The sequence below is a fragment of the Homo sapiens genome, chromosome 6, assembly GCF_000001405.40.
Source record: "Homo sapiens chromosome 6, GRCh38.p14 Primary Assembly".
In the NCBI taxonomy this organism is placed as follows: domain Eukaryota; kingdom Metazoa; phylum Chordata; class Mammalia; order Primates; family Hominidae; genus Homo; species Homo sapiens.
Window position 1 is genome coordinate 99,491,133 of NC_000006.12, and position 12,117 is coordinate 99,503,249.

Genomic DNA, 12,117 nt, shown 5'->3' on the forward strand with positions numbered 1-12,117 from the left:
AAATATTATAATAAATAATAAACCCCACACTAGAGCTTGGGGGCAAAGGCCAGCACAATCAATGAAGTGGGTCACTGAAGTACAAACACCAGGCATGGAAAAAAGAAAAGGGGGAAGAGGCCAGGTAGTTTTCAAATGAATATAAAAGCAAATGAAAAAAGCCAGTCAGTACTTAAGAAGCACTACACAAACAAGAGGAACCCTGATATGGATGCTGGCTGGGTTTACAGACAGAACAGTCTGCTTCTTGTTTATATCTGAGACTGTAAATAGAACCTAGAATAGGATGGGTTCAGACTCTCATTATTGCTGTTGCCAAAAGGTGGTTTCATAGTGATTTTTGAGAGATTTAAGATGAGAGAGAAATTAAATCCAAGCATTACTCAATTTTTTCAGGCTGTTAACTCTGATTTTACATTTATAAAACTCAGTCTCCAACAGGTTAAGTGATATGCCCAAGGTCACAATGATAATCTTCTGATTATAAATTCATTGTCATTTTACCACCTAAATTCTCTTCAGTGATTTATGTACAATGAGAAGAATTATAAAAGACAGTAGGTCAAGATTCTTACAGATTTGGGTATATGCAACCCTAAACAAATATGACTCCTCAAAAATATCTTTTTTTTTTTGGCTTCTTCCAAAACATGAAGCAGACTTAACATTCTTAATAAATGTTGCCACAATATTTTTTAGCTTATTAACATGAAAACAGAATGGCTGGAAGAAATAACCTATAGATAATAACTATATATGTTTTATATACTTATGAAATATATATACACGACGCCTATTGGGCCTGTTTTAAAAAACATTAAAAAATACATATATACACAGACACATTATTCACTTGGGAAAATACTCCTAGAAATAAATTATATTTTAATCTTGCAAAGACACATAACATTTTAAAAACCATAATATGCAAATGTATCTGTGTGCCACATTTATCCAACAGTTTTCAAAACATCTGGGATGGCATCCCAAAGTAAACAATGTTCATAAGACCATCTGGACAAAACTGCAGGCAAAATAAAGCATAAACATATGGAAAAACAGATTTTCCCCCTCCCTTCAGCAGTAAGGGACGACAAATGTCAAACCAAGATATATCCACGCTTCACTGTGTGATGCTTTTCAGCACCACCTGGCTCTCCATGCATAGCCACCAAATATGGACAGCACTGCCAGAAAGAACATACCCACAGGGCAGTGGCAATAAAAAGAGTTTATTTCATGGTTAAATAGCCACTTCACACAAGTGGCCAAGGGTCTGTTTGTTGACTTTTACATGTAAGTCTGTGAGAAAATATTAAAAATTAACTACGCTATCAAACAGATAATTTAACTAGAAAATAGAATTTTTTTTTTTTTTTGAGATAGAGTCTTGCTCTGTCTCCCAGGCTGGAGTGCAGTGGTGTGATCTCAGCTCCACTGCAACCTCCGCCTCCCAGGTACAAGTGATTCTCGTGCCTCAGTCTCCTAAGTAGTTGGGATTACAGGCATGCGCCACCATGCCTAACTTTTTGTATTTTTAGTAGAGATGGGGTTTCATCAAGTTGGCCAGGCTGGTCTCAAACTCCTGACCTCAAGTGATCTGCACGCCTTGGCCTCCCAAAGCACTGGGATTATAGGAGTGAGGCCCCGCACTTGGCCAGAATAACATTTCTAAGAGCTATTTAAGTGTTTTACTTAAAATAAAAGTGTAAGTCTTAAATTTTACTAAGGAGTACATTTACAAAATGTAACAATTTAAATTGATTTATCAATGCCCTTTGTGTATCAGGCACTATATGAACCACTATAACTGTTTACACCTAATTTCTTATTTATGACTGGAGTATAAAGAATTGATACATAGTAAACTAGTAAACAGCAGAGACCTTAGGCCTTAATTTTTTTTTTTTCTTTGAGACGGAGTCTCATTCTGTTGCCCAGGCTGGAGTGCAGTGGCACGATCTTGGCACTGCAACCTCCGCTCCCTGGGTTCAAGCAATTCTTCTGTCTCAGCCTCCCGAGTAACTGGGATTACAGGCACATGCCACCACACCTGGCTAATTTTATATTTTTAGTAGAGATGGGGTTTCACCACGTTGGCCAGGCTGGTCTTGAACTCCTGACTTCAGGTGATCCACCCTCCTTGGCCTCCCAAAGTGCTGGGATTACAAACATGAGCCACCACACTCGGCCAAGCCTTAAATTTATGATAACTGTAATATCTCAGGAAAACGTTTAGACACTAAATATACTTGTTGTGCATGTGTTTACTAAGAAGCTGTCAACTGAGAGTTTACAATTCTAGTTTAAAACAGGGATGTCTGAATCAGTCTCAATTACTTGACATTCATGCAGGTATGTATGTATGTATGTATGTATTTTGAGACGGAGTTTTGCTCTTGTCGCCCAGGCTGGAGTGCAATGGCACAATCTCGGCTCACTGCAACCTCCACCTCCTGGGTTCAAATGATTCTCCTGTCTCAGCCTCCTGAGGAGCTGGGATTACAGGCGTCCACCACTATGTCCAGCTAATTTTTGGTGTTTTTAGTAGAGATGGGGTTTCACCATGTTGTCCAGGCTGGTCTCGAACTCCTGACCTCAGGTGATCCACCTGCCTGGACCTCCCAAAGTGCTGGGATTACAGGCACGAGCCACTGCGCCTGGCCTGTATGTTTTAATAAAAAGCAGCTTATAGCTTCTACTGAAGAACTATTTTGATCATTTTGTTTTCAGAGATAACAAAGCATTTTTCAATCTGGCAGTGCAAACATTTTAGATGATATTAAAAATTCTCTTCTTCCTTTATAAACACAGAACCAAATACAATAAGGAATGAACTTCAAGATGTTTTTAAGTATGATATAAGTAAGAGGACAAAGTTGCTACAACAATAAAGACAAACTATACAAAATTTTTATTATCATTTCTTTTGTTCTCCTAAAGTTTTACCCACACCTACAAAAAAAGTGGTCTGCATAGTCAAAAAGGTAATCACAAAGTTTCCAGGCTAGGTTATTTTATTAAAAGGGATTTATCTCACCTTGGGAAATAAATCAAAACTAATAAAAAATAAAAGCAATTTAATTTACTCTACTTATCACTTCTATATTACTAACACTGTCATCCTTTACATAAAAAGATAATATAGACCTGGAATGCAAAGAACATTGAGAGCACACTTTCGGCACTTTAAAGTTTTTAAAGCTCTTGTACATCTCTGTAGTTTACCTTTAAGCCTATAATCTGAGTCCTCAAAAAGTAGCTGATTGAGGACTGATAGGTTTTGCATGTACCTCAAGTCTTCAAAGACAAAACTGGCTGAAATACCAGCAAAGCAAAAACAAAACAACATAAACAACAAAACAACTTGTCTAAGAACTTTAAAAAAAAAACTTAAGATATTACCTCAAATTTTTCCAGCATAAAAATTACTTCAACACTTAGAGATCCTATAACTATCTTTTTAAAAACTGAGTTCAAGGCTGGGTGTGATGGCTCATGCCTGTAATCCCAGCACTTTGGGAGCCAAGGTGGCAGGATCACTTAAAGTCAGGAGTTCGAGACCAGCCTGGCCAACATGGTGAAACCTCGTCTCTACTAAAAATACAAAAATTAGCTGGGCATGGTGGCGCTTGCCTGTAGTCCAAGCTACTCAGGAGGCTGAGGCAGGAGAATCGTTTGAACCCGGGAGGCAGAGGTTGCAGTGAGCTGAGATCATGCCACTGCACTCCAGACTAGGTGACAGAGTGAGACTGTTTCAAAAAACAAACAAAAAAACTGAGTTCAAGGATATTAAATCATAAACATAAAAAAACTCAAAAGTACCAGCAAATTTTAGGTGAATATCTTTAGAATCTTGGAGAGCAAAGACTTTCAAAGCATGACCCCAAAGGCTAAAAACAGAAAAGACTAATGACCTGGCAACAATGACATTAAAAGCTTCATTATGGCAAAACTGAACTATAAACAAAGTTAAATATGGAATTATGGGCACTATTGTCAACTATACCCTTTGTACAAGCTTTCTTGAGGGCAGTTTTACAACAGTAATCAAAATTTATACTTTGGCCAAGAAATTCCAAAAAAATTTCACCTACAAAATAAAAGAGCAAGTATACAAAGATACAGCTTTGTTTATCACAGGAGAAAATTGAAAACAACCAATAGTGGGTTTGTTGTGAAGTAATACTAAATTGGTGTCTTTCTTTTCCCAAAGGTGTATTTGTGAATTGCCTTGGTTAAACCAAAAGTGGGGAACACTGGTTCTTCCCTTTCTTCCCATAGGCAAGGGAGAAGTGAACTTATTTTGCATTTAGAGTCGGATAGTTTGAGAGTGTATCTCCCTTAAATTGTCACCTCTGATAACTGTCCCCATTTTAGAACTGAAGCATTTCAAAGATGAAACTGAGGTATACTGCTGGTTAGTGTTGAGGGAAGATTCAAACCCGGGCAGTCTAGCTTCAGAATTCACACACTTAAACATTATCTACTGTCTGTTATAATAAAGATGATGCAATTTATAAGTGTGATAGTAGTTTAAGACACTAACAAAATGCCAGTGGTGATATGAATAGCAAAGCCATTACTCTTAAGTAAAAGCTGTATGTAATCCATTGCTGCACATGTTTTGTGTTTGGATTTATAGCTTTTTTAGTCATAGTTTGTAGCAGTCCTTCTCAAATGATTCCTTAAAAAATTAACACCCTAACATCCTAGGTACCCACTGCATGCAATTAACATCTCCCTATGTATCTGGAAGGATACTAGTTATGTGACATCTTTGGGAAAACTGAGAAAATAGTCACTCTAATAATTTTACTGTGTTTTGTAGTATCGATGAGGAACCCCAAATTAAAAACCCTATATGTAAAAATAGGTTGTTTTTAAAATGTCATTATCTTTTTGAACCTAGCCCCTTGTATACACTGAAACAACGATTTTTAGTGCTTATTTTTGAAAATGCAAATTTCTTAGAAACATGACTGTCACTTTAGAGAACTGTATTACCTCTTAAAAAAACAGACAAAAATAAATAGAGATAGGGTCATGTTATGTTGTCTATGCTCGTCCTGAAGAACTGGTCTCAAGCAATCTTCCCACCTTAGCCTCCCAAAGTGCTGGGATTACAGGCATGAGCCATACATGTGCCCAGCATGTATCACCTTTTTTTTTAAAGTATTAAATAGTAATCAAATTGTTACTGAAACAGGTCATAATATTATACTCAGATGGAGTTTCAGATCCCAAACATACCACCACTTACTTTCTTATTTAAAAAAAAAAAGATACAGCAAACTCATACTTCATAAAACCCACATAATTCATGTCTATTGTAAACCAGGAGCATGAGCTTAATAAATTCAGCAGGATATAGTATTTTGTCTTCTCTTTAACCTTGTTAAAAATGGCATCCCATCAATATTAAAATTATGAGCCAAATGCATTGGTTTAGAAAAGAACATGGGATTGTCAGTCATCTATTTCACAAAAAATAAACCAATATTCAACTACATGATTTTACCAGGAATTCCTAGATTCTCTAAATATTTGTAGAACACTTCATGACATTTAAAAGACTATTAAAGTGAGAAATCTCTGAGACTTTCAGAGGACAATGGCCCACTTTAAAAAAAAAAATTTTTTTTCAAGCAGGTTTTAGGTTCACAGCAAAACTGAGCATACGTTAATGGGGATTTTCCATATCCCCCCTACCCCAACACATGCATAGCCTCCATTATCAACATCCCCCACCAGAATGCTTCATTTATTGTAACTGATGAACCTGCACTGACACATCATTATCACCTAAAGTTCCTAGTTTACATCAGGGTTCACTCTTGGCAGTGTACATTCTATGGATTTGGACAGATGCAGAATGACATGGATCCAGCATTATAGTATCATACAGAGTAGTTTTATTGCCCTAAAAAATTCTCTGTGCTTTGCCTATTCACCCCTTCTTCCCCTCAACCCCTTTCAACCACTGATTTTTTTTTTACTGTCTCCAGTTTTCTGGTCTACTTTTTAACAATACCTATTTCTGGGTGGGACTCACAAAAATGCTTATTTGCCCATTTTCAGTCTTGCATTATATATGACCTTTTTATTCCATGTATGGGGAAGGGGGAGGTAGAGGGAGTTTTGTTTCTATAAGCAAATCCTAACATCAGATGTGAAATCTACACAGCTGTAAGCATTCTTCTGGGAACCTGAGCTGGGGTTCATCTCAACTGCTTAATGCAATTACCTAAACCAGTCATGTAGTATTAATGTAATCTGCCCATTTCTACAGCTGAAAAGAAGTTTAATATTTAAAGAGTGAGTAAAAAGAGACAACTTGGTGCCCCACAATTCCCCTAGCTTGGAACCAAATAATAATTAGCTTGCCAGTTTACTCTCAAAATCGACTAACTTCCAGTTAACCATTATGCCTTAGAAATCTTTACTTAGTCATATGATAAATTGATATTAACATAATAAATGGGCAGTTATACATATATAGGCATTCCTATCTGTCTCCATACAAGTCAAACTGAGATCTACAAAATCACTGATCAGCCACTTCTCTGCTTAAAACTTAACAGTGGTTCCTCACTGCCCTCAGAACAAATTCTATCTGTACAAGGCCCTTAAATATCTGTTCTTACTTACCTCAAGTCTCACCTCTCACCATCTTCTACACCACAAAACTCAACTTTTCAGCTGTCTAGACTTGCCTGAACCTATCGAGCTCTCGTCAATGAGCTATTTTCTTTGCCTGGAACACACAATCTGTTCCCTTTTTGCCCAGATAATTTCTAGATATTCTTCTGCTTCCAACTAAGTCGGATTATTCTTCTAAATAGAATTGGCCTGACTCCTCCAGTCGAATGTTAGGTACTATTCCAAATTGTTCTCACGGTCCCTCGTACTTGCTCCATCACAGCACTATTTAAACAGGCAAGTATAACTAAGTGCAATTTGTCTATATCCCTCAATAGACCAAAAGATCAGTAATGACAGGAACTAGAAGTAGATCTGTCTCATTCACTACTGCATCTCCAACATCTAATGCAGCATCTGGTACAAAGCAGAAACTCAGAGATATTAAAAGACTGAATAAATAATTTTGATATTAATATTTAGGATTTTGGAGGGTGAAAGTGCAAAGCTTATCTATCTACTTCCTCAACAAAAACTGGTCACATTCTATTTGGTTTATTCAGCAAGTATTTACTGTCTACCCACATAAAAATCAAAAAGAATATAATCCAGAGTCCAGTCTTAAGGAACCTACAGTCTTGAGAGAAAATAAGACATGTACAAACATAAATATGAAACATCAAAAAAGTGTGTTATTAGATTCTAAAGTGTGCTGCACAGACACTGAGTGCCAAAAAAGAGATAAGGATTGGGAAAGCATCCTAGAAGTAGGATTTGAGCTGAGCCTTAATGGATAAGTAAGGCTGAAGACAGAAAATATAAAGACAAATGTGCTACAGTTCAGCACTTCTCAAAGTGGGTCAGAAGACAACTTCCTTCTTTCAAGGGTACTTAAGGTCAAAAGTATTTTCATAATAAGCCTAAGATTTTATTTGCTTTTTTTACTTTCATTCACTCTCAATTATACAATGCCGTTCTCCAGAGGCCATATGGCATGTGATATCACAAAGGATTAAATGCAGAAGCAGATATGAGAATCCAGCTGTTTTCTACTAAGCCAGACACTTAAGAGTCTTATAAAAATGCAAGACAGTGCCACTCATTATATTTTTGTTTTGAAAGTTATCTTTTCTACAAATGTTATTTGTGTTAACATGGCATAGTATTTATTTCATTTTTATTTTTAGAGCCAAGTCTCGTTGTGTTGCCCAGGATGGTCTCAAACTCCTGGACTCAAGTGATCTGCCTGCCTCAGCCTCCCAAAGTGCTCTGATTACAGGAGTGAGCCACCCATATACTATATGATTTTAGGATAGTGATGCCTAAAAGTAAAGGAATAAAGAAACAAAAGAATTAATGACATGCTTTAAAGAGAAAGAAAATTTCTGGTCATGCATAACTTCAAAATGTGTTTAACATACAGGCACAGGCTTTCTTCTCAATAACTATTTTTACTTAGTACAAAAATATAAAAATAACCTTTTAAAATCATACTTATCCTCTCACCCAAACACAATAATACAGTTTCATATTCCTTTTATCATAAATAGGTGTTTTCACAATGTTTCACGATTACCATTTAGTGCAAAATCATATCCGGCATTCTTACAAACCTCAATAAAAACTTTCATATTTGATTTTCCAAATATTTTATAAAAATATACGGAAGCCGCATACAAGGCACAATATGGCAAACTATTATATCCAAAAACTTATTCTAGAATGCCAAGGAATATTATTTTAAATCAAACTTGCCTGAGAGATCCTGTAGCTTGACCCACAGGGATAATGACATCTTGCCCTAGAACTGCCAAAAGCCTTAAACTAACAACTATGTATCTCTCAAACTTTGAAAGCTCCACTCCCTCTCAAACTACCTCAAAAGCCCGTGCCCCACCACTCCAGGTGCTATTCACGGTTCCATAAACACAATTAAGGCTTATATTAGTGCTTCCCACCACCTGAAATGATTTCTTCTCTCATCTTCACCTGCCCAAAGTTCATCCTTTAAGGGTCAGCTTGAAAGCCGGCTCATCCATGATTCCTTTTTAGTTCCTACAACTGAACATTATATCCCTCTTTGGATATTTGAAGGACTTTGGTTGTTACCTAAAACAGAAATCTTACTCTACTTGCATATCATTACTGTTTAATCTTACACCTTCTTTCAGATCTTTAGCCTCTTAAAGATTTAGTGACTGTCTTATCAATCTCTATTCCCTGAAGCACCTTGGAAATATAAAGTACTAAGGAAAAATGAGGCTTGCATAAACAGATTACTGCCTGGGGTCACACACCTAGTGACAGAGTCAAATCTGAACACCAGACCCCCTGACTCAAAGCCATCTACTGTCTTTTTTTCTTTTTTTTGAGACAGTCTCACTCTGTCGCCCAGGCTGGCATGCAGTGGTGTGATCTCGGCTTACTGCAGCCTCCGCCTCCCGGGTTCAAACAATTCTCATGCCTCAGCCTCCTGAGTAGCTGGCGTTACAGGAATGTGCCACTATGCTCAGCTAATTTTTGTATTTTTAGTAGAGTTGGGGTTTCACCATGTTGGCCAGGCTGGTCTCGATTCCTGGCCTCAAGTGATCTGCCCGACTTGGGCTCCCAAAGTGCTGGGTTTAAGGCCTGAGCCACCGTGCCCAACCTCAAAGCCATGTACTTTCCATCATACCGTCCATGCTCCCTTCCTAGCATCTTTCTTATAATACTTATTCAAGAAATCAGTAAAATTGAATGAAAATCAGACTGGCTTTGTACTTAACCTTAGGGAATCTCTAAGGTAAAAAAAAAATCCAGAGAAAATAATTTCTAAACTTGTACTTTCATCACCCATGCCATCATATCCCTGCCTATCTTCTTATTATGGCCAATGAAACTTAATGCTCATTTTTCAGCAGACAGAATTATGACCAACTTCAGTTCCAGTAGTGTTACAAGTCTTTCACCACCATATTTTCCTGGTTCTTTATTTGAGCAGAATTGGAGCTACGACTAGTATGCCTGCTGCAGAACAGAATTCAATAAATGTTTGTTGAATAAGTAAATGATAAGTGATCAAATGAATCACTTCTACTGCTGTCCAGGAGCCTGAGTTTACCTTCTCTGGTTCCTCCTCCAGTTCCTTCACCATTACTGTCTCATTAGGGTGATGGCTAACAAAAACAGCTGTACACTGGGCTATAGAAAACACAGTTGGCAACTATATTTTTATATAGCTTTTCAGTTTCTGATGCCACCTACTAAGCAATTCAATTCTGCTTCAAAGGCAACTCAAAATTATCACGTCCATTCACCTAGCTGTTCAGTAAAAATCCTGAGGTTTGTATTAATACTTAATTCCTCCCACTCTCCCTCCCTCACTACATGTAATCCACTCACTCCCCATGAGTATCTATCAGCCTCTCACCTGCCCCCCCACAATCACCTCCTTAACCCTCTTCATGATCTCCCCACCCCCATGCTTAACTCCCTACAATCTGTGTGCCACATAGCAATCACTTATCTTTATTTTTTTAAAAAAATATGAAATTACCGTGATACCCCCCTGCTTAAAATACTTTAGTAATTTCTATTACACTTCCAAAAAAATAAAAATTCCTTACCATGGAGTTCATTACAGTATCTGTCATGACCAGCTCATCTACCTCGTAACTTCATCTCTTTGCACTCTCTCCTAACAAACCACGTTTCTGCAATATTAGCCTTTCTTGATCACTGTGACTACTATATTATTAGCCAGCACGGCAATCTGTTCCTTTCTTTTGTAGCACTTACCAGAAGTCATTATATATTTGCATTTTTTGCTTGTTGCTCCCACTATAATCTAACGCCTAGAGGGCAAGATAAAACTATTTTTGTTTTACTCTAATACTACAGACCAAATAAAATTTAATACCTGGCATGTGGGAAGCACTTACTATTTTTGGAGGAAGAAACTATTATCCTATACACTCTTAACATACGTTATGTATTATTTATTTGTTAGGTAACAAAGTATACAATAACAAAATACATAATACATTACTGTTATATAATAAAGGATCTGGCTGGCTTTTCTCCCCAGGTTCCTGGGAAGTACCCTCTAAATCCTCGGAATTTCCAGAGCGACAAGAGTGTCTGTTATTCATGATGGGTCCCTCAGGCCACATTTGACAGTTTATATCAACAAACTGACTCACTGTGGGCCCCTAGACAGTTTATGCTGAAGAGATGAATCAGGATGGGGCCTGGCCCTGCCAGAAAGACCAACCATGTGATTAGAATGTTGGGGGCCTAGAGACTGAGTTAAATCAATATGGCCAATGATTCAATCAATCATGCCTACACAATGAAATCCCAATAAAACTCTCCACACCAAAACTCCAGTGAGCTTCCTTGGTTACCAATACTCTTGTGTATATTAGTGCACACGAATGCATGGGCTGGGGAGAGTGAGGAGAATGCATCCTCATTCCCTCTGGAGTGGACACAGAAGCTTCACATTTGGGACCCTCCCCAGACTTTGCCCTATGCATCTCTTCCTTTGGCTGTTTTGTATCCTTTTTTGCTATATTAAAACTATAATTGTTAGTACAGCACTTTCCTGAGTTCTCTGACTCATTCTAGCAAATTATCACTGAACCTGAAGAAATGGTAGGAACCCCCAAATTTGTGGACAGTTGGTCAGAAATTCAGTGGTCTAGGAACCCTCAAGCCTGCAGCTAGTTTCTGATGTGAGGGCAGTCCTGTGGGCAACTGTGCCCTTAGCCTGTGAAGTCTGGCCTAACTCCCAGTAGTTAGTGTCAGAACTACACTGCAATTATGTAACAAATAACAGACACCATTTCATACATATGTGTCAAGTACTGATATGGTTTGGATCTGTGTCCACACCCAAATCTCATGTCGAGTTGTAATCGCCAATGTTGGAGGAGGGGCCTGATGGGAAGTGACTGGATCATGGGAGTGGGCTTCTCACGAATGGTTTAGCTCCATCACTTTGGTGCTGTTCTCATGATAGTCAGTGTGTTCTCACAAGATCTAGTTGTTCAAAAGTGTGTACTACCTCCTCGTCTATCTTTTCCTCCTGTTCCACCATGTAAGACGTGCCTGCTTCCCCTTCACCTTCCACCATGATTGAAAGTTTCCTGAGGCCTCCCCAGAAGCTGAGCTGATGACAGCAGCAGGCTTCCTGCACAACATGTGGAACTGTGAGCCAATTAAACCTCTTTTCTTTATAAATTACCCAATCTCGGGTATTTATAGAAATACAAGAAAAGACTAATACAGGTACTATGCAAGTATTTTTACATGCACTATTGCTAAATCTTTAGAAAATATTATCTCTAGGCCTCACAGTAACTCCATAAGACAGAATTATCATCCTAATTTTATAAATAAGTAAACTAAGCAATAAAAGTGACCATGGCCAGTAAGTGGGGAAGCCTAAATTCAAACTTATCAGGACTGACTTCAAAGCCCATGGTCTAGACA

General features: G+C 37.8%; 1 protein-coding gene across 26 annotated transcripts in view; it reads right to left on the reverse strand.

Moving 5' to 3' along the window:
• USP45 (ubiquitin specific peptidase 45) overlaps positions 1–12,117 on the reverse strand; it is an 85,522-nt gene that overhangs the window by 58,808 nt on the left and 14,597 nt on the right. The gene's annotated exons all lie outside the window — the stretch shown is intronic.